The sequence below is a fragment of the Homo sapiens genome, chromosome 12 (genome assembly GCF_000001405.40).
Source record: "Homo sapiens chromosome 12, GRCh38.p14 Primary Assembly".
Classification (NCBI taxonomy): Eukaryota; Metazoa; Chordata; class Mammalia; order Primates; family Hominidae; genus Homo; species Homo sapiens.
Window position 1 is genome coordinate 110,908,956 of NC_000012.12, and position 24,720 is coordinate 110,933,675.

Sequence of the window (24,720 nt, forward strand, 5' to 3'; positions counted from 1 at the left end):
CCCTGCCCACGCAGCCTGCTTTGAAAGGGGCCCCAGGTCTCTGCAGCCAGGGGACAGTTTCATTCGTCTTGTTAATGGCTCAGCCCTGAGCTCCTCCCACTGTTGTCATTGTCAAGCCTTGAGGACTGGCCCTAACTGTGGCTCCTCTGGCCTCCTGGGTCCTCCTGCCTTCACTGTGACCCCAGCTCCACTCCGTCACCACATTTCAGCTTCTTCCCATCACATCACTGACTTGGGCTGTGTCCTGGGTTCTTGGGTTCTTAGGAGTCTCTCTCTCTCTCTCTCTTTTTTTTTTTTTTTCCGAGACGGAGTTTGGCTCTGTCGCCCAGGCTGGAGTGATCTCAGCTCAGTGAGTGGTGTGATCTCAGCTCACTGCAACCTCCACCTCCCGGGTTCAAGTGATTCTCTTGCCTCAGCCTACTGAGTAGCTGGGATTACAGGCATGTGCCACCATGCCTGGTTAATTTTTGTATTCTTAGTAGAGACGGGGTTTTGCCATTTTGGCCAGGCTGGTCTCGAACTCCTGACCTCAAGCCATCTGCCTGACTCGACCTCCCAAAGTGCTGGGAGGGTTCTTGGGATTCTCTTGAAAACTTGAAGTACCCGAAGTCCACTCCCTGCTTCTTCTTGGGTTTTCCTCTGGGGAATCTTCCCTCCCATCTCCAGGCCATATGGTTCAGGAGGACTCTGATTTCAACCCCAGCACAGGGCTGATCATTTGAGCCAGGCCTGTCCATCAGAGCACTGCCCTTGCCAGTCCATGGTGATTGGCTCAGGGGTGTCAAGTGCCCCAGAGGGATCCCACAAGGCCCTGTTCTGATGTTTGTGTGGAGCTGGAAGAGAGAGGAGTACGCTCTTCTAGGATTGCTGAGGGGCTGGAAAAGGGGCAGGAGCTGCTCTTAATTATTTTGCCACTGCTGAGAGCAGAGCAACGTGACAGAAAACAGAGGCCTCCCCAGCCTCTGAGGGCACTGCCTGGGCTCCTAGGTGCAATTGTGCTTGAAGCCCTTGGACTTCTTAGTTATTTGAACCTATTTCTGTTTTTTTTTTTTTTCCTTTTCTAAGAGACAGAGTCTTACTCTGCCACCCAGGCTGGAGTGCAGTTCACTGCAGCCTCGACCTCCTGGGCTCAAGCGATCTTCCCACTGCAGCCTCCTGGGTAGCTGAGACCACAGGTGCACACCACCATGCCTGGCTATTTATTTTTTATAGAGATTGGATCTCACTATGTTGCCTAGGCTGGTCTCAAACTTTTGGGCTCAAGTGATCCTCCTGCCTCAGCCTCTCAAAGCGCTAGCATCACAGGCGTGAGCCACCACACCTGGCCCTATTTGTTTCTTACACTGGGACTCTTGCAGCCATAACAGACCTGAATGCTTCAACCGTGACTGTGGTCATTCAAAATCAAAGGTCAACTCACATCCAGGCCTGGGCCCCAGACAGAGACAGAAGTCAGTACCACTCCCTCAGTTTGCTAGGGAAGAAGTACAGACAACTTCTACTTTATCTGAAACTAGAAGTCACCCTCTTAGGATTAGCAGGTGTGATTACTGTTGAACGAGCTATGTTCCTACCATGTGTCAGTCCGCTTCCTTCTTGTCACTGTCACTGGCAGGAGAGGCATTCCGATGGCATCCCAAGGGACAGATGTCATGGAAGCAAGGCCCTCTAAATGCTTGAGCTCTTTGGAAGAGAGGGCTTTGGTCATCCAGGTAACATTCCAGGAAAACGTGATCCTTGATAGAAACAGTTCTGAGTGGCTGCAAAGGTCTACCTTAAATAAAGAGTCACCAAGATTCAATAATAATGACTGCAAGGCTGTCACTAGCTCATCTGCCTTTGCCTTCCTTACACAAGGCACTGTTTGTCAGAGAAATGTCGTGACCAAATACACGACCTCCTGTTTATTGGAACATGGCCTCTGGATGGATTTCCAACTGTAGGATGTGCGGCCACGAAGTACCCATAGCCACCCAGGCTGCAAAGAAGATGGAGGTGGATAAATGGGGCAGCCACATGGCTAACAGACAAGGTAGGGACAGAGGCGGTACTCGGGGGAGAGAGATGAGGGCAGGGACCACTCTGCAAAGACGAGCCCAGGGCGCAGCAGCGAGCCCCCTCCTAGTCCTTCTCTTCTCCGTGGGTGATGATGTGCACCAGGTTCTTGTAGTCCAAGTTGCCAGTCACGTCAGGGGGGAAGGCGGCGAACATCTGGTCAACCTGCAATGAGCCAGCAACACGTGCTAAGGACGAGGGGAGGGGAACTGAGACGGAGGGTGGGGGGCTGTGGGCGGGGCCTGAGTGGACGGATAGCTGGGGGGTGGGGGATGGGAACATGGGCCACTCAGAGGGTCCTCCGGGGAAGGACTTCCCCAGCTGCTGCAGGGCCCCCTCGCCCAAGGTCATGCCCTTTCTGGGGCAGCCCACAGCCAGCGGATGGGATTGGTGTGGGGGTATAAAGGCACGGCCATCTCGCCCAACTTGGTACCTCTCAGGAGAGCTGTAGAATAAGCTCCCTCCCTGGGTAGTCAGCAGTGCCGATCTTTGGGCCTAAATCTTGGCTCAACTTCTTCCTTCATGCACTTTTCCTTCCTTGCCCTTCCCTGTTCTTCCTTTCTTGCCCTTCCCTGTTCTTCCTTCCCTGACCCCAAGGGCCCTCCCAAGTAAACATCATGCAGAGATGTCCCTGGAAACCCAGCCTTCCACTGGGATCACAAACTCAAGGGTTCCGAGGGGCCAGGCAGGTTATGCAAGGGAGCAGGATAGGTCCTATGGCTAAATGGAGACACGTGGCCATCTAAAAAGGTGACATGAAGTGACCACAGGGTCCAGGGTGTCAGAAATCTAGATTTTTGTTTTTACACAAAATTTCCCCATTTAAAAAGCATTGGCTAGTTATTATTATTATTTTTTTAAAACATACTGGCTATTCATAGCTAGCACTTATATTGCCCTTGCCACAAGTTCACACTTTCCCCACATTAACATGTCGAATCCTCGCAATCTCCTATGAGGTAGCTTCTATTATTATTCCCACTTTACAGATGAGGAAATTGAGGTGCAGTGAGGTTAAGGAGCTTGTTCAAAGCACACAGCAGGTGGAAAGTGAAGGCAGCCCTTTTAGCTGCTTGAATTTTGGGGGAGGGAAAATCTACATACAATTTTTAGTAAAATGTGGAACTTGATGGAAACAGGCCTGTGAGGCTATGAGGGGAGCATTTAAAATCGACTCATTAAGGTTCACTAATAAGGTTGACGGCACCATTGCTTGCTCATACAGAAGCTTTGGCAAATTAGCAAAAGTGCCCCTTCTACCAAACTCACTACCGCACCACCTGAGTTGAAAAAAAAAAAAATTATTACCAGACACTTTACTGCCAGTTCTGGAAAGCTGTTGCAACAAATACACAGTCTGATGACTTTTATGAAACTGACATTTAGAAGAATTGTTCAGTGCACAACTCACATGACAGTATGTGGCGGCCCTTCACGCCATAATAATGTCATGCTCTAAGCAGGTCTCTATGCATCGTGAGCAAGGCAGAACCTGCAGTCACGCAGACCTAGGTTTGAATCTAGGTCCTGGCATTTACTATTAGTGTTGTTATTTTATTTTATTTTTGAGACAGAGTCTTGCTCTGTTGCCCAGACTGGAGTGCAGTGGCATGATCTTGGCTCATTGCAACCTCTGCCTCCCGGGTTCAAGCGATTCTCGTGCCATGCGTCAGCCTCCTGAGTGGCTGGGAATACAGGCGTCCACCACCATGCCCAGCTAATTTTTGTATTTTTAGTAGAGACAGGGTTTCCTCATGTTGGCTAGGCTGGTCTCAAACTCCTGGTCTCAAGTGATCCTCCTGCCTTGGCCTCCCAAAGTGCTGGGATTACAGGTGTGATTATTGTTATTTTAGATGAGTGACTTTACTTCCCTGGGTCTCAGTTTGCCTATCTGTAAAATGGCAGTTATGCCAGTCCCTACCTCATAGGGTGGCAGAGAATGAAATGAGGCCAGGCCTCAGAAGACGATAGCTGGTTCTCTGTCAGTGTGGGGTCAGGGGTGCTTTAGACGAGAGGGGAGACGGAGCCCCCCAGAAGGAGAACCCAGGAGCTGGGTTAGAGGGAGTGCTTGAAGGACCCCATTACCTCCTCCTTGGAAAACCTCTCCGCCTGCGTGGTCAGCATTTCCCGAACGCTGCAGAGAAAGGAAAGCAGGTGTTGGTGTCAGTTGTGTGTGTGTAGGGGGGACAGGGGGCAAGCAGGGAACCCCCTTCCTCCCCCACAGACCCCACTCACTAATCAGCCTTCAGCACCCCTTTGCCTTCAGGGTCAAACACTTTGAATGCGTTGAGAATGGTTTCCTCAGGGTCCGCTCCTGAAACGGAACACAGGGCTTACATGTACTGGGGGTGGCTGGGAACCACTGGCACCCCAGGCAGCAGGGCCCAAGTTCCCCCAGAGATGAAGGGGCCAGAGCAAGGCTGCTTTGCATGGAGGAAAAAGACCCTGCTTTCGTCTGATCACTGAGCCTCTGTATTTCGAAGAGAGGGCTGAGAACCCAAGGTCAAACATCATCTAGATTTGAAAGCCTGGGATTCAAATCTTAACCCTGGCACTTGCTAGCCATGTGGCCTCAGACAAGGGACTTTCTGTCTCTTAGTCTCAGTTCCCCATCTGTAAACTGGTGATAAGAATAGAGCATACCTCCTAGTTGCTATTAAGTGGGGTAATGCATATAAAGTGGTTAGCATGAGGTCTGACTTAGGTTAAGTCTTGGAGCAATGTTAGTTGCTGTGTTTTTGTTTTGTTTTGTTTTGTTTTGAGACAGAGTCTCACCTTGTTACCAAGGCCGGAGTGCAGTGGCACAATGTCAGCTCACTGCAACCTCTGACATCCCGGTTCAAGGGATTCTCCCGCCTCAGCCTCCTGAGTACCTGGGACTACAGGTGCACACCACCATGCCTGGCTAATTTTTTTGTGTGTTTTTAGTACAGATGGGGTTTCACCATGTTGGCCAGGTTGGTCTTGAACTCCTGACCTCAAGTGATCTGCCCGCCTCGGCCTCTGAAAGTGCTGGGGATTACAGGCATCAGCCACTGCGCCCAGCCAAGTTGCTGTTTTCATTATTTTTTTCCAATGGTGCTTTATCTCTTTTAAAGTTAACCATCTTCTGCCAGCCCCCCCGAAGAAACATAGACACATACACACAGACACACACACACACACACGACCTTACCCTTAAGTTTCTCCCCAAACATTGTGAGGAACACAGTAAAGTTAATTGGACCCGGAGCCTCCTTGATCATTTCATCAATTTCTTCATTTTTCACGTTCACTCGCCCTAGGGTAGGAAACACACACTCAGGGACTCCGAGCTGGGGAGAAAGAACCATTATGACACTGCCATTGGCTCCTGGGATTCCACTTCAAGAAATCTAGTCTAGAAATCATCAGAGATGGGGTGGATGGAGGCAAAGATCTTTTCTGAGAAGATGTTCTTGACAGTGTTATTTATAATAACCAAATGACTGGAAGCGACCCTAACATCTGATGTGGGAAGGTGTTCGTTATTTATTTATTTTTCTTTGAGACAGGGTCTGGCTGTGTCACCCAGGCTGGAGTGTAGTGGTACAATCTCGACTCACTGTAACCTCCGCCTCCCAGGTTCAAGCGATTCTCGTGCCTCAGCCTCCCAAGTAGCTGGGATTGCAGGTGCATGCCACCATGCCTGGCTAATTTTTGTAGTTTTTTGGACAGACAGGGTTTTGCCATGTTGCCCAGGCAGGTCTCGAAGTCCTGGGTTCAAGTGGTCCTCCAGCCTACGCCTCCCAAAGTGCTGGGATTACAGGTGTGAGCCACCATGCCGGCCAGTTCATTATATTTAAAATAGTGTCTTCAGAACCTGGAACATTTGATGCAGATATTTTCATTTTTCACTCAAATGGGAAAGGCTCATGTTGTAAATTAGCCCTTCACAGTTGGAGGCGGGAGAGACAGATCAGGATCACCTGAGGGAACTTTTACAAGTTAAACCTGCTGTAACCCACAGCCGTGGAGGTTCTGATTTACCTGCTCTAGTCCTGCCACAAGCCTAACTTTGTGCAAATAAGAAAAATCTGTCATTTTTTAAGCCAATGTATGTTTTAAGTATAAAAAGCTACACTCACTACAAATGTGAATACTTCCCTGTAGAATTGTGCAGTGCGCAGTCTGCACAGCTGTGTATGGTTGCCCTGAGTTCTAAGGTCAGGAGTAAGTGGTGGTGGCGGGTAGCAGATTGGGCATGTATATTTTGAAGAAACTCCATGTACTCATGCTCACACTGTTGAGATGATACATTTTAGAAGATAAATTCGAAAGAGAATGATTCCAATAATTTAAAAAACTAAAACCCAAACCTAACAGACATGTCTAGAAAGACTTAGAGGAGGGACTGGAATGTTCACAGTGGAATATGACCTTCTGGGTGATGTCATTTTCTCCTTTATACTTTTCTGCATTTTTTCCCCATTTTCTGTTGTGAGCTGACATTGCATTCAAAATCACACAAAAAAGTTATTTCAAGAGAAAAAAAAGATATCTGAAGGTACTCAAAGACTAAACACTTCTTTCCCATCCCCTGAAATTTGTCTTAAAGACCAGTTGTGGCAGAGTTGTTTCTTTGGGAAATGACACCATCTTGAGCTTTTCTGATGGTCCCACCTCCTGCTCCTCATGGATGTGAGATAAAGAGACCCTCATGCAGGGCTAGAGAGGGTGACATACCAAGGGCAGCAAAGGTGTCTCTCAGATCGTTCTTGTCAATGAAGCCATCCCTGTTCTGGTCCATGATAGTGAAGGCCTGTGGAAGGGAAGTGATTGGCAGCTCAGCCTGGGAGAAACTGGCAGAGTTGCCCAAGAGATTGGGCCAAGGACTTGGCAGGAGTGGATTCTGGGATCTTCAAAGATCATTGTAGGACCTCAGATTAAAAGTCAACAATTGAAGATAATCCAACAGTTTCTTCAAAACGTCAGGCCTCGTGTTATCATATGACCCAGACATTCCACTGCTAGATATATACCCAAGAGAATTGAAAACATGTCCACATAAAAGCCTGTACACAAGGCTGGGCACAGTGGCTCACGCCTGTAATCCCAGCACTTTGGGAGGCCTAGGCCCGTGGGTTACTTGAGGTCAGGAATTCAAGACCAGCCTGGCCAACATGGTGAAACTCCGTCTCTATTAAAAATACAAAAATTAGCCAGGCGTGGTGGCGCATGCCTGTAATCCTAGCTACTTGGGAGGCCGAGGTAGGAGAATTGCTTGAACCCAGGAGGCAGAGCTTGCAGTGAGCTGAGATCATGCCACTGCATTCCAACCTGGATGACAGAGCAAGACTCCATCTCGGAAAACAAAAACAAAAACAAAAAAACCTGAACACAAATGTGTATAGCAGCATCGTTCACAGTAGCCCAAAACTGAAAATAACCTACATGTCCATCAACTGATGAATGGATAAACCAAATGTGGTCTGTCCATACAATGGAATATTATTCAGCCATAAAAAGGAGGGAAATTCCTACAAAGGTTACAACATGGATGAGCCTTAAAACATCAGTGAAAGAAGCCAGACACAAATACCACATATTGTATGATTCAATTTCTATGAAATGTCCAGAACAGGAAATTCATGGAGACAGAAAATGGATTAGCAGTTGCCAGGGGCTGGTGGGAGAGGGAGGAGCAGGAAGTGACTGCTAATGGGTATGGGGTTTCTTTCGGGGGTGATGGAAATATTCTGAAATTAGATAGTGGTGATGGTTGCACAACTTTGTGAGTATACTGCAAACCACAAAACTGCACACTTCAAGGGTGAATTTTATGGTATGCAAATTATAACTCTATAAAGCTATTTATTTATTTATTTATTTATTTTTGAGAAAGAGTCTTGCTATGTCACCCAGGCCGCAGTGCAGTGGTGCAATCTCGGCTCACTGTAACCTCCGCCTCCCGGGTTCAAGCGATTCTCCTGCCTCAGCCTCCCGAGTAGCTGGGAGTATAGACGCGCATCACCAATGCCCAGCTTATTTTTCTTTAGTAGAGTCAGGGTTTCACCACGTTGGCCAGGCTGGTCTCAACCTCCTGACCTCAAGTGATCTGCCCACCTTAGCCTCCCAAAGTGCTGTGATTGCAGGTGTGAGCCACTGTGCCTGGCCCGTGATTCCTCATTTGTAAAACACTTGGGCATTTATAAAGTTCTGAGAATCTCCCTGACTGTCAGCTGAGATAGATTACTGGTCCCATTTTATAGATAGGGCAGGCTAGGGAGTGGAGAGGCCAGATGAGACACCAGTTTTTAGCTTTTTAAAAAATAATAGCTTTAGGCCAGGTGCAGTGGCTCACGCCTGTAATCCCAGCACTTTGGAGGCCGAGGCGGAGGGATCACTTGAGGCCAGGAGTTTGAGACCAGCCGGGCCAACACAGTGAAACCCTGTCTCTAGTAAAAATACAAAAAAATTAGCCAGGCATGGTGGTGAGTACCTGTAATCCCATTTACTCAGACAAACAAACAAACAAACAAACAAACAAACAGACCAAATGGGGAATCCTGGCTACATGTTTTGAGTTCTTTGCATCCCTTACCCACACCGCCGGCAGCTGATGCCAGAGGCTGGGAAAAGAGGCGGGTGTAGCTTTCTGCCTGGAAGGTGACTATCTCAAGTTCAGATATGACACTTGCCTCAGGAATTTCTCTTTCCCTATGGGACACGGCATTCCTGCAATCTGAATGTTAGTGAGGACAAAAGGTACGACTGTTCATTTCCTGTTTGGAAGCCCCAAATGGTTTCCCCTTTGATATAAAGCACACTAGGGCAGGGTGTAGTGGCTCATGCCTGTAATCCCAGCACTTTGGGAGGTCAAGGCAGGAGAATTGCTCGAGCCCAGGAGTTTGAGACCAGCCTGGGCAACACAGGGGGACTCAATCTTTACAAAAATCACAAAAATTAGCTGGGCACAGTGGTGTGTACCTGTGGTCCCAGCTACTCAGGAGGCTGAGGTGGGAGGATTGATTAATCTGGGAGGTTGATGCTGCAGGGAGCCGTGGTTGTGCCACTGCACTCTAGCCTGGGTGACAGAGCGAGACTCTGTCACACGCACAAAAAAAGAAAGCAGTCTGGTCTCTTTAGCATCATTTTAGCATAGTTCCCTCTGGAAAGCCAGGTGGGAATGTGGATGAGTCAGTGTGAGCCCTCGCAACGGCTGGAAAATGAATTCTGAGCCTGTCCATCCAAGCCCGTGTGCAGTTTGGCCTAATTGGTACTTTGGTTCTCTTCATAAGGTCCATTGCCATCAAATGCGATGGGGTTTCAAATGGGGCTAGTGGTTAATAATCAAAGACTGTAAAATGTAAAACCCAGAAGATACTGCTTTTCACCTCTCAGACTGGCAAAAAAAAATTGTGACTATTAATACCCAGCGTTGATGGAAATGTGGGGAAAGGCACGAGGCTGCTGGGCATAGGAATTAGTGCTGTGATTTTGGGGGGCAATTCGGACCAGCAGTTCTGCCTGTTTTTAGTTCTTTTGTTGTTGTTGTTTTAAGTTCCTTTGACCCAGCAGTTCTGCTTTTAGGAATTTACCCCCAAGAAATAACCAGAGATACAAGCAAAGAGGTGTTATTTATAGTAGTAAAACATTATAAACAAATGTCATATTTAACCATAGGAAATGGTTTAAATACATGATAGGAAATGTTAATGGTGAATTTCTCAACGAAAAAAATGCAGGTGTAATCAGTGGGCACAGAAGATTATAATTTTGTTTAATAAATATATACATAGATAACAAAAATGGTTTGAAGGGTATATACTAAAATGTGAACTGATTATCTCTGGGTAATAGAATTGTAGGTAGTTTTTATTTCCTTTTCTGTGCTTTTCTGAAAAATTTTCCAACATTTTTCAACATGGAATATGTTTTACTTTGATAATCAGTGAAAATATTAAAAATAGTTTCTTTTAAAAATTCACACATCCGTTCAGGCCGAATTTGGGATTGTTTGGAGGATAGAGGCATCTAATGAAAGGTCCCTGCTGGGAATATGGAACAAAAAGAAGGTTCTCCCTCGTGGGTGGGATTTCCATCCAGGCGGATGATTCAATAGCTGCACCCACCTCCTTAAATTCCTGGATTTGGGTCTGTTCGAACATGGAGAACACGTTGGAGTTGGCGCCCCCGGCTCTCTTCTTTGCTTTCTTAGGTGCCTGGGGGAAAAAAGCATCGATTAAAAGAGTGAGAGGCTGGGAGTCAAAAAACTAGGTCAGGCCCCTACTCTGGGTGTGTTCATCTCTGTTGCAGGGCTCAGCTGCCCATCTGTGAAATGTGGGTACAGCATCCACACTCAGGTCTCCAAACGGTGATGCTGGAGGGAGCAAAGGACATGACATGAAGTTTCTCCAGAGCCCTCTGGTACCAGTGGATCATAAGCGTTTGTGCATCTTGCAGTGGCTCCTTCACCAACTAGGAGAAGCCACAGGTGTGTCCCTGGGGATGGAGGCCACACCTTCAGATCGCCCCTGCAGGATCCAGCCACTTTTGTTCTGATGCATTTCACAAAAAGCTCAGTAATGCACAGAAGGAGAATTGATTGGAGGGAAAGAAAAAGTCAGGCTCACTAAGCCATGATGAATGCCAAGATGAAATGACAGTTCTTCAAGGTGTTAAAACCCAACTGCGCCCCACACCCCACAATTTTCCCTTGCTCCAAATGGCAGCAAAACCTCCTCTCTGAATGCTCCGTCCTTGCACCACATCAATAGGGCAGAGAAGAGCGAGTTGACCTTTCTTCCCCACCCCACTTCTCTCTGACTTTCAATAACAGCAAATGATTCGGTACTCTACATATGTATTATTTAATTCTCATAACCACTCTGTCAAGTGGATACTATTATTATCATCCCCATTTTACAGGAGAGGCAACTGAGGCTCAGAGAGGTTGGGTCACTTGCCCAAGATCACACAGCCACACACACAGAAGGCAGAGCCGGAGTTGAACTTGGGCGTTGAACTTGGGGAGTTGAACTTGGGCATTCTGACTCCAGAGTTCCTGCCTCTAACCACTCTCCCTCCTGTGCTGACCCTGATTTGGGGACTGCCCACTTCAGGAGGGGGACACCTAACCCAACAGCACAGAAAGAAAGGTTTTAAATTTGCAAGTTCAAAAGGTGAAAACAAAAACATTCTTTTTCCCAGCTGCCTGAACAAGAGAAAAGAATTACAATTTGATCCTTAAAAGCATTCAATCCCATTTTGCAAGTCCTGGGAGTTATTGATTCCTCGAGAGGTCAGTAGACAAGCCATAAAAAAGCCAACTCTCTTATTTTGTGTTTGTGAGTCCCCGAGAGCTGCTGTTATTTGTGGCCTATCGGGGCATTGATTGGGGTTCCTCTGTGCCCGCGCAGTCAATGGGGCTTTTTCCACAAGGGGCTGGAGGCTTTGAGGGCCGCCTTCCTCCCCCTCCGCCGTGGTCCCTCGCTTGTAGTGGCTTCCTCTCCTCGCCCACCCGGCATCATCACCTCCTGGAGCCCTTGTACTCACCATGGTGGAAAGGACCCAGCACTGCCTCCCGAGAAGAATTCCACACTCCGCCCAGCTCTCTGCAGCCCAGGAACAATAAATACTTCCTCCCCATGTTTAAAAATAACCCCATGACCGCTTTTGGCAGTCATAGGTGAGGCGGGCACCACCTAAGGCCCCCCCACCCCATGCCGTTCTTCTGAAGTAAGGGTGGCTCACTCGCCACTGGGTGACACGTGAGCCCCCAAAAAGGCATTCAAGGTTAAAGAGGCAGTAGCTGGGTCATGGTCACGGGGAGAGATGCTGCGCGCTCTCTGCGGTGCTTGGGCCGGGGACACTTGTGCTTGTCAATTTTGAGAAAAAAAATGGCAGGGAGAGGAGACTGCTAAAATGCTCTGTTTTATCAGCCTGGATCTGGCCTCAGGGTCTTTGCACCTGTGTGCCCTCTACCTGGAATGTCTTTCTGTCAGTCATCGCACGGCTCCTTCCTTCACCTCCTTCACTGCATCTTTGCTCATATGTCATCTCCTGAGTGAAGCCTCCCCGACCACCATCTTTAAAATAACCATGAAGGCTGGCACTGTGGCTCATGCCTGAAATCCCAGCACGGCGGGAGGCCGAGGCGGGAAGATTGCTTGAGCCTAGGAGTTTGCGACCAGCCTGGGTGACATAGGGAGATGCCTGTCTCTACGCAAAAGAAAAAAAAATAGCTGTGCGTGGTGGTGCATGCCTATAGTCTCAGCTATTCAGGAGGCTGGGACAGGAGGATCACTTGGGCCCGGGAGGTTGAGGCTGTGGTGAGCCACGATCACACCACTGCACTCCAGCCTGGGTGACAGAGCAAGACCCTGTCTCAAAACAAACAAATAACACAGCCACGCACCTCCTGCGCTCCGATCTCCCTTCTTTGTTTCTCTGCACAGCGTGAGGCAGTCCCGAACACTGCCCACAGTGCACTGACTCATTTTCTTCAGCATCTGTGGAGCGTCAGCTCAGAGGGCAGGGATCACTTTAGTTTCCCTCACCACTGACTGTCTCCCCAGCTCCCAGCTCATGATGCACACAGCAGCAGCTCAAAAATAAATATTTGTTGACTGAAGAAATGACAAATCTCATTGACTGAGCACTGGCACGTGCCGGACACTATGTGCTCATGGCTCCCACACATAATTTTCCAGCCACCCTAGAGGGTGGGGACCACCTCATCATCCATGCCCCCATTTTACAGATGCGGAAACAAAAGCTCAGAGAGGCGAAGTGAGCTGCCCAGGGTCACACAGTGATGGAGCTAGGCGTGGACCCCTCTGGAGGCCCCTTTGTCTCCAGAGTCCAGGCTCTTTAAGAGCCTTGAAAACAGCAGCTGCTCTCAGAATGCAAGGTGTCATTATATAATACTTTTACTGAAGACAGCTTTCCTGCTGGGTGCAGTGGCTTATACCTGAAATGCCAGCACTTTGAGAGGCTGAGGCGGGTGGATCACTTGAGTCAGGAGTTCAAGACGACCTTGGCCAACATGATGAAACTTGTCGCTACTAAAAATACAAAAATTAGCCAGGCGTTGTGGCGCGGGCCTGTAGTCCCAGCTACTCAGGAGACTGAGGCAGGAGAATCGCTTGAGGCCGAGAGGCAGAGGTTGCAGTGAGCCGAGATAGCGCCATTGCACTCCAGCCTGGGCGACAGAGTGAGACTCTGACTCAAAAAAAAAAAAAAAAAAAAAAAGGACGGGCATGTTGGCTCACACCTAGCACTTTGGGAGGCCGAGGCGGGTAGATCACCTGAGGTCAGGAGTTCAAGACCAGTCTGGCCAACATGACAGAACCCCATCTCTACTAAAAATACAAAAATTAGCTGGGCGTTGTGGCACATGCCTGTACTCCCAGCTACTTGGGAGGCTAAGGCAGGAGGATTGCTTGAACCCAGGAGGCGGAGGTTGCAGTGAGCCGAGATCGTGCCATTGCACTCCAGCCTGGGCGACAGAGCAAGACTCCATCTCAAAAACAAAGACCAAAAAAACCCCAAACTAAACCAAAACAACAAAAGATGGCCATCTTCCTGTGCCCTTAAAGACAGCCTTGGGATTCAGGGAGCAAGAACTCGGGGCTTGGAATCATTGTGGTTATTTAGTGTCCGTGGGTGGCAGGCCTGAGTGCCAGAGGCCACACCTCTAAGAAGGAGAATGTCCCTCTGCCCTCCCAGTAGTGTGGGTGCGGGGCTGATGGCTGAACCAGCATTCATTCCCCTTCATCGAGCCCAGCGCAAAGCAACAAATTCCCTTCCCTTGAGGTGCGTAAGTGCGAGGGGAAGATGGACAAGGAGAAAGTAAACAAATGCACAACCCAGACAGTTGCAGGCAGTGACGGATCTCATGCAGGGATGAGACAGAGGCATGGCAGTGGCCAGGTGACAGCCTCAGACAGGGGCGCAGGTGGGCTCCTCCAAGCAGAGTCTGCAAAGGGGGCTCCAGGCAGTGGGGACAGCACATACCTCAAGGCAGGGAGAATTTGGAGGCTTTGAGGAACAGAAGGCCCCCTGGGGCTGGAGTTTTCCAGAGCTTAAAAAAAGAAATCACTTTTCTTATTAGGTTTTCCAGAGGGTAAAAGGAGGTGAGACCTGGCAAATGGTAGCTATCACTCACTCCCCTTCTCAGGTGGAAAAATAATCTCAATTTGGGGGCACACAAACCCAAGGACCATTGATGGCTGTGACAAAAAAAGGTGTGGGTTTTTTTCTTCTCTGCAGTCCCACATGGGTTAGAGTTACCCAGGACACTCTTCTGACAGATCTTTAATAACAAAAGATGTGTTCATGTGTGTGTGTAGGCACATGCATGCACAGACAAAAACACGTCTGCACATGCATAGAGGCACACAGACACGTGCATGTACACGCATCCACATATGTGCAGTGCACACATCAAGAGGAGCTTTTCTGTCCAAGGTTCTCTGACAACACCAGAATAAATGTTTCCCTAGCTAATAGGCACACCATAGATTTTCGTTAAAACCCTGTGTGAGCAGTCAGTAGCTCCAACTGGCCAAGTGAAAAGGTTGTTGCAGCCACAGAAGATGTGGAGAGTGTATGATGGGGGGTGGGAAGCCCCGGGGTGGGGATTAGGATGGGCTGGGCCCCCAGAGTCGAGTGGGGGTGTGTGTCCCTGAGGGACACCTGTACAGCCAGGCCTCCAGAAGGGGTACTAGAGGAACCATTCTGGCTGGATAGCAAGAGGGGTTGTCAAATAGGGCACTCACCCTCTCGGGCCTGTTTCCTCACCTGGAAAAGGGAGATCACACACCTCCATAAGGCTGCTGGGAGGATTAAGTGAGATTGTGTCTAGGGATTCTGGGAAATGGCGGCCTGAATGGGGCATGGAACCACGTGGCTGCTGGGACGTGGAGCACGTGGGGTGTGGACTAGGCCTTGGGGTCTGTTGAGAGAGCCAGAGATCCAAAGTCTCTCTCATCAATGGGTTGTGTTGCCCCAGGGAGCCCCCAAGACCAGGGACAAGGCCCTGGGATTGGAGAATCCAGGGAGGACTTGGTTCTTTGTAGACTTCAGGGGTTCCTTTCAGCATCAGCCTCAAGACTGCGGGGGCTGGGGAGGGAGCGAGTGGGCGGCTGGGGCTGTTGTGCCCTGCCCTCAAGGCTGGGTGGCGGAGGCCTCTTGCTGAGAAGCACATGCCCACAGGACCTGAGACCCCTGCCTTTTTGCTACCTGTGGGATTCCTACAGCTAATAAGTTTCCAGCAGCTAGACCTGAGTCCCACTGAATAGAAGAGAAAAATAACTGCTCACTTGAGGCTGTCAGAAGCCAGAGAGAAGCACAGTGGGCCGATCCATCAGAATAGCAACTTCTAGAATATCAGAAACCCAAGTGTATTTGTTTCTTATTGCTGCTATAAAAATATTACCGATGTGGTGGCTTAAAACAGCACTTCTTTTTCTTTTGAGACAGGGTCTCACCCTGTTGCCCAGACTGGAGTGCAATGACACAATCATAGCTCACTGCAGCTTCGAACTCCTAGGCTCAAGTGATCCTCCTCTTTTGGCCTCCCAAGTAGCTGGGACTATAGTCACGCACCATCACGCTCGGCTAATTAAAACAATTTTTTTAGTAGAGACGGGGTCACATTATGTTGCCCAGGCTGGTCTTGAACTCCTGAGCTCAAGCCATCCTCCTGCCTCAGCCTGCCAAGATGCTGGGATTACAGGCTCAAGCCACCACACCTGGCAACGTATTTATTATCTTGTAGTCACAAATAGGACTGTGTTCCTTCTGAAGCCTCCTGGGGAGAACCCGATTTTTGCCTTTTCTACCTCGGAGGATTCAGAGGTTGGAGTGATGAGGACCACGAAGCAGGGAATGAGGCACCGACACTCCTTGTGGACCACGAGGTCCCCACATTCCTTGGTTCGTGGTCCACATCACTCCAACCTCTGAATCCAACCTCTCTGACTCCTCCGCTTCCATCCTTTTTTTTTGGGGGGGGGGGCGTGGGGGACAGGGTCTCACTCTGTCACCTAGGCTGGAGTGCAGTGGCACAATCTCGGCTCACTGCAACCTCTGCCTTCTGGGTTCAAGCGATTCTCCTGCCTCAGCCTCCCGAGTACCTGGGATTATAGGCACCCGCCACCATGCCTGGCTAATTTTTGTATTTTTCTGGAAGAGATGGGGTTTCACTATGTTGGCCAGGCTAGTCTTGAGCTGGTGAGCTCAAGTGATCCGTCTGCCTCAGCCTCCCAAAGTGCTGAGATTATAGGCGTAAGCCACTGTGACTGGCCCCGTTGACAATTTTAAAAGAAGAGATGAAGAGAGGGAAAATATGTAAGTATTCTTTATAGGTACACACTGCTTTTAAGTAAGAATGATTTTAGCCCCAAATCGAAGGACATGAATTTGCATATAGATATTTATTTGAGCCCCACTATGTACAGGGTGTGATGTACATCAGTAAAGCTTCATGCAGAGTAAGGGGAGAGATATACATATTAAGCTTAAATTCAAGAAAAGTGGAAATTTATGTTCAACTGTATTATGGTACAACAGTCCTCATTTTAGAAAATAGAGCACTGTATTAATTTCATTATTTTTTAAAGCCCAAGTACTGGTTTGCTCCAAAGAATAAAAATAAAAACAAACCAAAAAAAAACCTTAGAGAAATTCAAGTGAAACCCAAAAATGACTTCCTAGAGCTTTAAGACCTGATTTTTAAACTAAAAATTAAGTGAATGAATTTCAGGAAAGGTTAGTTTTGTTGCAATTTAAATAGTGGCCTAGAAGATGATATCTTGGGAATATCATGAAGCAAAATAACAAAGAAATGCAAATAAAATCATTCCAGAAACAGAAGCCAAAAGTAAGCAAGTAATACAGGAAAATGTTCTTCAGCACAGAAGAGAACAGAATCTGCAGGTTGAAAGAACTCCCGAACTCCAAGCTGGAAGGATAAGGAAAAGCACACACCAAGGTGCATCCCAGCAACATTAACAAACTCCAAGGATTAAGAGAATATCTGGCCTACTTCTGGGCAGAAAGAACATAACTCTAGTGGAAAAGTCAGGCTGGTGTCGTACTTCTTGGCAACACTGCCAGCAAGGAAACAGAGAACAGAGGGCTCCGACTCACAGACCCCAAGCCTGACAAGGTATTGATCATCTGCCAGATTGAGGACTGGGGGAACATTTTGTTTTGATTGGCCTGACGTGGTAGCTCAGGGCTTTGTAATCGGACTAGCTAGGGTTTGCATCCAGGTCAGCAATGTGACTTTAGATAGGCTTCTTCTCCTCTCTGAGTCTCAGTTTCCTCCTCTGTAAAATGGGATAATAACAGTATTCATCTCCTAGGGCTGTTGTGCGGATTAAATCAGAGTGTGCATTAAGACACATTTGATCACAGTGGCTCACACCTGTAATTCCAACACTGTGGGAGGCTGAGGCAGGTGGATCACTTGAGCCCAGGAGTTGGAGACCAGGCTGGGCAACATGGTGAAACCCTGTCTCTACAAAAAATACAAAGATTATCTGGGTGTGGTGGTGCACACCTGTATTCCCAGCTACTTGAGAGGCTGAAGTGGGAGAATCACTTGAGCCAGGGAGGTTGAGGCTGCAGTCATGCAGTCAGCTGTGTTCACTCCATTGCATTCCAGCCTGGGTGATGGAGCTAGATAGATCCTGTCTCAAAAAAAAAAAAAAAGATAAATGAATAAACAGGCAAAAAATGAATCTGAACTGTGAGAAGTCAGGATAGAGGAGGGTAGTGACAAGGAGGGAACATTAGGAGTGGGATTGCCAAGTTTAGCCAAAAAAAAAAAAAATTGCAGAACATCCAGTGACAGCAGAATTTAAGATAAGTTGGAATTACCTCTTGGAAGAACTGGGAATGTTGTGGATCCTGATCCGGGTGTGTCACGGGCTGCACATTTATGATCTGTGCACTTGTCTCTGTGCATGCTACACACCCATAAAAAATTAAATTAATATAATGTGAGCAAGCACATTTTTACTATAAAACAGTTGAATGTGTTATGGAAGATATCGACTAAAATGTCCCCTTTCTATCATGACAACCAAATCCTCTCCAAAAGGAACAGGGTTTGCAGTTTCGTGTGAAGCCTTTCAGATGCTACTTTTTATTCTTTGCTTTTAAAATTGAGATGGCAAAGTGCATGTGTCCTAAGTGTCCAGTGAGATGAGTTTCTACACAGGTGCACACTGTGTAACCACCACCCGAGGCAGGACGCAGAACATTTCAGCCCCAGAGCTTTTCCTAGTGTCCCTTCCCAGCCAACCCTCCTGAAAGTCAGCACCTCTTGGCCTCTAGCCCCGTAGATTAGTTTTGCCATTCCAGAACTTCAGCAGATTCCTTCCAGACATTTTAAAAATAAAAATTGTATTTAAGAATTTATTTTAAAAGTGGCAGAGTTCTCCTTTCCCCTGGCCCAGTTTCCCTGATGTTAACACAGGTTACATGACCCTAATACATCGGTTACAACAAAGAAACTGATATTGATGCATTACTATTGACCAAACTTCCTGGCTTGATTTGGATTTCACCAGCCTTTCCACTATGGTCGTTTTGCTGTTCCAAGATCTAATCCAGGATATCACATTGCATTTAGCCTTCCCAACTCTCTGTCTCTCTCTTTCTGTCTGACACACACACACAGAGACACACACAGACACACACACACACAAATATTACTTTTTTTCACAATAATGATGTCATACCATGCAAACAGAGATACACATTTTCACGTTAATGGTATCATAACTCATACACATGCACATACCCGCCCCAGCCACCTGAATTTTCCCACTCTATGGTGGCCTTGGAGACCTCCTTTGCAGTCCCTACCTCACTGATGGAGGCTGGCGTGGTCTTCCCTCAAGCTGAGCCAGGCCGTGCAGCTGGCACATTTAATACACGCCCAAAGCACCAGAGGTGCCAATGACAACAAAAACCCAACAAACTTTTTTTGGGGGAAAGGAGATATATATATACTTTTTATTTTTTTTTGATACAGAGTCTTGCTCTGTCGCCCAGGCTGGAGTGCAGTGGTGTGATCTCGGCTCACTGCAACCTCCGCCTCCCAGGTTCAAGTGATTCTCGTGCCTCAGCCTCCTGAGTAGCTCTGATTACAGACGTGTGCCACCACGCCTGGCTAATTTGTGTACTTTCAGTAGAGATGGGGTTTCACCATGTTGGCCAGGCTGGTCTTGAACTCCTGACATCAGGTGATCCACCTGCCTCAGCCTCCCAAAGTGTTGGGATTACAGGCGTCAGCCACCGTGCCCGGCCAATTAATGTTTGTTTGTTTTTAAGTCAAAATAGCCACCATGGGGAAAAACTCCGAACATGCCAGGATGTTCTCACGCTAGCTGGACTATTAAGTACTGTTTTTATCTTTCGTTTGCTGTCAGGTGGTGACAGCCAGCATCTTTTCAGTCTTTGGGGCTTTTAAAGATTTCAATCCAGCCCTGCTGGAGGCATATTTTAATTCGTTTCTTCTGCAGGGGCTTTTTGCACTTTAGCTCCTGGAATTCAAGTCTTAAGCCATTACATCCCATATTGTAAGGGAGAAAGGGAAAGGCTTCTCTACATGTTTGTCTTATAAAACTCTTCAGCGGATCACATAAGTATGCATGCTAATATCAGTAGCTTACAGAGTTAATCTAGTAATGTATTAATATTTAGGACAGAGCCTGGCACAGGAAAGTGTCACATAAGTGCCCACCATGATCTCCAATGGAAGCAAGTAGCACAGCGGGTTAACTTGCCTTGGGGTGTAAGGCCCCTTTAAAGAGGGCGGTGAAGTCAGCCACCTCTTGATAGAACAAAGGCATACCAGGCCCTGCCAGCCCAAAGCCGGGTGGCTGATGGCTTTTGTCACCAAGTGATAGCCTATCTCCTCGTGTCAGGGCCCCCAGGCGTCAGTGAGAGCCACCAAGTGGGGAGGGTGGCTTCTCTTGGGAGTCAGATTCAGGTGGACCAGGCCTGTGCCCAGCAAAGATGGGTGAGCCACATAACGGGGCACCCCCTGTGTACACAGCACCACTGGGACAAGCAGCATCAGCTCCCCGTGCCTCAGTTTCCTCATATGTGAAATGGGAACATGTAATAGAGGTCCTTCAAAAAGTTATCATGAGGTTTAAATGAGTTAATTACTGCTTCTAAAGTTCTAGAATACTGCTGGGCATGGTGATGTTCAGTGAATGCCAGCTCTTATTCCAGAGAACTGGCTAGGCACCCATGTCAGTGGAAATGGAGGTAAAAGAAATAACGTGTTCCAGCTGGGCGTGGTGGCTCACGCCTGTAATCCCAGCACTTTGGGAGGCCAAGGCGGGCAGATCATGAGGTCAAGAGATCGAGACCATCCTAGCCAACATGGTGAAATCCCATCTCTGCTAAAAATACAAAAATTAGCTGGGCATGGTGGTGCGCACCTGTAGTCCCAGCTACTCGGGAGGCTGAGGCAGGAGAATCACTTGAACTTGGGAGGCGGAGGTTGCAGTGAGCTGAGATTGCACCACCGCACTCCAGCCTGGCGACAGAGCGAGAGTCCGTCTCAAAAAAGAAAAGAAAAGAAAAGAAATAACATGTTCCAATGAAAAGAAAAGAAATAACATGTTCCAATATGAATTCATTTTCTCTCCTCTTCCTCTCCCAAATCCTTTTCCTGTTAATGACTTCACCTCTCTCTTAGGTTCCCAGACCAAAATCCTCAGCCATTTTGATTCTGCCCTACTAGTGACAAAATCTATCTATTCTTCCTCTAAAATGTCTTGCAAATCCATTTCCTCAAGTCCAGCCCCAGCTGTGGCCTAAGGTAGTAGGCCCCAACTGGTTTTGGGCCTCCTCTCTCTTGTCTTTATATCTTGCCCTTCACACACTCTGAGTCCAACTCCTTTCCCCCATACCCCATTCTGATGATGACTTGTACATGCTCTAGAACCCTCAGTGGTTCCCCACTACCTCAGGAGGAAATCTCCCCTCCTTAGCCTGACAGCTAAGATCTTTTATCACTTGACCCTGTCCTACCAGAATGGTGTTATGATTGTAAGCTGGGTTCCAGGTCAGCTCCTCCACTTCCTTGACTGTGGGGCCCCTGGACAGGTGACTTAACCACCCTAAACCTCAGAGTCTTCACTTGATAAATGGAGAAAACTATCATGCTAGCTTTGGAAGAGTGTCGTTCAAGTGAAACTAGATAATTGTGATACTAACGATAGCAGCTAACATTTATTGTGTGTTTATTCTGTTCCAAGCACCATCCACATGGTTACTCATGCAATGAGTGTAAATGGCTTTGCACAGCGCCAGGCATGGAGAGTACAGGCACTGTGCGTGAGAGAGTGTATGTGTGTGAGTGTATGAGTGTGTGTGACTGCGTGAGAGAGTGTATGTGTGTGAGTGTATGAGTGTGTGTGACTGCGTGAGTGTGTGTATGAGTGTGTGTGACTGTGACTGTGTGTTTGTGAGTGTGTGTGACAGGTGTGTATGTGACTGTGTGAGTGTGTGAGTGTATGTGTGTGTAAGTGTATGTGTGTGACGTGTGTGTATGTGTGCCACGTGTCTGTGTATGTGAGTGTGTGAGTGTGTATATGTGAGTGTGTTAAAATGTGTGAGTGTGTGTGAGTGTGTATAAGCGTGTGTGTGATTGTGAGAGTGTGTGTGTGAGTGAATGTGTGAGAGAGTGTGTATGTGAGAGTGTGAGTGTGTGAGTGGGTGTGTGTATGAGTGTGTGTGGTTATTACTGGTTGTCTTCCCAGCCTCATTTCCTACTCCGGCCCCCACCTCACCCTCCAGCCCGTTATTCAGTGCTCTTAGGGACAGCTGCTCTGAGCTGGCGGAGTAGAAGCTATCATGTATTGAGTGCTCCAGTGGACTGGGGGAGGCAGGCCTGCCCGCCATGGCCACCACCCAGCCACTGCATAGCTTGCCAAACTGAAGTCCCAAAAGAAATCAAATCGCCATCATCCCCCTTCCCTAGAGCTCCTTGCATGTCACGCACTGAGCCATATGCTTTACTCACCGTCGGATATAATCCTCACAACACTATGAGGAAGGTACTAATATTAGACCCATTTTCCAGATGAGGAAACTGACGCTCAGGGAGGAGTAGTCACTCCCCAAGGCCCTACTGCTAGCATCTGGTAGCGCTGGGCTTCGAACTCAGATTGTCGGACTCCTCTGTACACACTTTTCCTCCCCATGGTATTCTGGTTTCAAAGCCGGGGGATCCGGCCCCACCTCTCACTACCCTCCAGGATCCCAGAGCTCGGATCCAGCCTCAACGACCCAGATAGCCCTGCAGTGGCTTTCTTGTCCCTGGTATTTTTAGCCCTCGGTCATCTATCTTGCCTGCACTGGGGACAGCGGCACTCAGACAAGCCCATTTTTACTGGTGCCCTTCAGATGCCCGCGGGCTCAGCTGTCTCGGTGCCTGGCATTCCGGGGGTATTGTTCCTCTCTACGAGTCCCAGATTCCAGCAACAGCTGCTGCCCCAGGCTCCCCCGCCAGCTTCCCCCTGCGCTCCCCCTGCCCGCCTGCCAGAGCCCCCTTGCTGAAGAACGTGGCACAGTGACAGCCGAACCTGGTCCCGCATGCCTGGGCCCAGAGCTATATAAAGGCCACACTCCTGGCTCATTAGTCATCCGACCTGAGGTTGTCGGGTGAAGGACCTTTCAACGAGTCTTCAGGGGACACCCAGCTCTGCAGGCCCAGGCCCTTGCTCCTCCCCAGCACAGATGCAGGCGTCTGCGGGGCTTCCATTCTGGAGCAGCACTCTCATCCTGGGCTCTATGGATGTGAGGGGCTGGATAATTCTTTGTTACGGCAGTGGAGGGTGTCCCGTGCATTACGGTATGATCAGCCGCATCCTTGGTCTCCACCCACTAGCAGCCATTAGCAAACCCCCCTCCCAAATTGTGATATCCAAAAATGTCCTCAACATTGCTCACTGCCCTGAGGGGCATACATTATCCCAATTTCAGCACCATCGACATACAGAGCAATTCCTAGGAAGGGAGAGACAGGTTTTCTGCTCGTAGAGTTTGAGGATGGTTTAGGGCTGCCCGAGTCCACCGACCTCCTGAGGTCTCCTGGCTGGGGACTTTGGGGAAGAAGGGACATTGGAGTTGGGTCTGGGCTAGAATGTCACCTCTGCTGCTTGCTGACCGGATGAAACAGGTCCAGTGGCTTTTTCCGGTTCCATCTCCATTTCCATTTTTTTATCTGCAAAATGTGTTGGTTCAGAACACTGACCTCATGGCGGCGCTGTGAGGCTGGCTCGAGATAATTTTGAGCAAAACCCTTCGTTCTTCATAAATTCTGTTCCCGGGGGGCTAATCTGTGCGTGTTCTCAGATGAAAAGTCAGGATTTTTCCTCTCACTGTTGGGGAAAAGGACAACCCTAAGATCACTGAGTCCCAAATAGTCTTTTTTTTTTCTTTTTTGAGACAAGGTCTTGCTCTGTCATCCAGGCTGGAGCCTCAGCTCACTGTAACCTCTGCCTCCTGGGCTCAAGCAATCTTCCACCTAAGCCTTCCAAGTAGCTGGGACTACAGGTGTGCACCACAACACTCAGCTAATTTTTGTATTTTTTTTTTTTGAGATGGGGTCTTGCTATGTTGCCCAGGATGGTCTCCTGAGCTCTTCTGGGCTCAAGTGATCCACCCGCCTCAGCCTCCCAAAGTGCTGGGATTACAGGCGTGAGCCACCACACCCTGCCCCAAATACAGTCTTAATTCAGTGTGTAGAATGTGCAGCCCCAAGCGGTCATCATAATTCAGAACTCCTCCCTAGAGTTCATGTCTAGTCTCCAGGCCTGTGGTGAGCACACAGCCACCCAAGGCCACACCCGCACACCCGCTCTCCTGGTCTCTGCTTCCGCCTTTGCCACCCGGCAGCCCGAGGGACATTAAAGAAAAACAACAACAACACCCAGCTCGGTCATCACCACCCAAATTTTTTTTTTTTTTGGATGGAGTCTTGCTCTGTAGCCCAGGCTGGAGTGTAGTGGAACCAACTTGGCTCACTGCAACTCCTGCCTCCCAGGTTCAAGCGATTCTGCTGCCTCAGCCTCCTGAGTAGCTGGGATTATAGGTGCCCACCACCTCGCCCGGCTAATTTTTGTATTTTTATTAGAGACGGGATTTCACCATGTTGGCCAGGCTGGTCTCGAACTCCTGACCTCAGGTGATCCACCTGCCTTGGCCTCCCAAAGTGCTGGGATTACAGGCGTGAACCACCACACCCAAACACCCGCATGTTTAAATGGCTGCCCATTCTCCTAGGATGCAGACCTTTCCATCTGCCTGGACCCCCCGCCCTGCCCCGCCATCCCCTCTTTGTCTGGATGGAGATCTCTCACCTTTGGCACTGCTGACATCGGGGCCAGGTCATTCTTTGCTGTGGGGCTGTCCTGTGTCTTGGAAGATGTTGAACAGCATCCCTGGCCTCTACCCACCAGATGCCACCCAGTCATGACAACCAAAGATGTCTCCAGACATTGCCATGTGGCCCCTGGGAGTTGGGGCAAAACTGTTCTCCCCGAACTTCCAGACTAGGCCCTCCCAGCACTGCGTTCCTTTCTCCCTCCCAGTGTTGAACCACAGCTGCATTCTACTTTTTTTTGTCTGATTAGCTGATGAACACCCAACTTTCTGCTCAGA

At 48.6% G+C, this 24,720-nt stretch overlaps 1 protein-coding gene across 3 annotated transcripts, besides 4 other annotated features; it reads right to left on the reverse strand.

Annotated features, from left to right (window-relative positions):
• Nucleotides 1,890–12,494, reverse strand: MYL2 (myosin light chain 2). Of its 3 annotated transcripts, none has more exons than NM_001406916.1 (7): nucleotides 12,434–12,494; nucleotides 10,149–10,238; nucleotides 6,760–6,835; nucleotides 5,231–5,335; nucleotides 4,291–4,369; nucleotides 4,141–4,189; nucleotides 1,890–2,220 (listed from the first exon to the last, which is right to left on the reverse strand). In NM_001406916.1, exons 2-7 carry the CDS (start codon nucleotides 10,182–10,184, stop codon nucleotides 2,122–2,124), a joined length of 444 nt encoding a protein of 147 aa, NP_001393845.1. In that variant the 5' UTR covers nucleotides 10,185–10,238; nucleotides 12,434–12,494; the 3' UTR covers nucleotides 1,890–2,121. The 3 variants fall into 3 exon arrangements, with proteins under 3 accessions (NP_001393845.1, NP_000423.2, NP_001393674.1); NM_000432.4 differs by lacking the exon at nucleotides 12,434–12,494 and adding an exon at nucleotides 11,572–11,624; NM_001406745.1 differs by lacking the exons at nucleotides 6,760–6,835; nucleotides 12,434–12,494 and adding an exon at nucleotides 11,572–11,624 and having other exon boundaries at nucleotides 5,231–5,369.
• Nucleotides 8,456–8,957: an enhancer, noted in NCBI's record as "H3K27ac hESC enhancer chr12:111355215-111355716 (GRCh37/hg19 assembly coordinates)". NCBI's record gives its function as "activates a minimal SCP1, AML or CMV promoter by ChIP-STARR-seq in primed H9 embryonic stem cells {active_cell/tissue: H9 hESC(primed)}" and the evidence as "EXISTENCE:reporter gene assay evidence [ECO:0000049][PMID:30033119]".
• Nucleotides 8,958–9,457: an enhancer, noted in NCBI's record as "H3K27ac hESC enhancer chr12:111355717-111356216 (GRCh37/hg19 assembly coordinates)". NCBI's record gives its function as "activates a minimal SCP1, AML or CMV promoter by ChIP-STARR-seq in primed H9 embryonic stem cells {active_cell/tissue: H9 hESC(primed)}" and the evidence as "EXISTENCE:reporter gene assay evidence [ECO:0000049][PMID:30033119]".
• Nucleotides 9,998–12,432: an enhancer, noted in NCBI's record as "VISTA enhancer hs2149". NCBI's record gives its function as "enhancer in: heart[5/9]" and the evidence as "EXISTENCE:transgenic organism evidence [ECO:0001131][PMID:17130149]".
• Nucleotides 19,766–22,923: an enhancer, noted in NCBI's record as "VISTA enhancer hs2493". NCBI's record gives its function as "enhancer in: heart[7/7]" and the evidence as "EXISTENCE:transgenic organism evidence [ECO:0001131][PMID:17130149]".

Coding starts and splice junctions, on each gene's coding strand:
- MYL2 (NM_000432.4), bottom strand. Junction 5,336..6,759: donor AGACACCTTTGCTGCCCTTG/GTATGTCACCCT, acceptor TTCCTACCCTAG/GGCGAGTGAACGTGAAAAAT. Junction 2,221..4,140: donor AGAGGTTTTCCAAGGAGGAG/GTAATGGGGTCC, acceptor GGCTCATTGCAG/GTTGACCAGATGTTCGCCGC.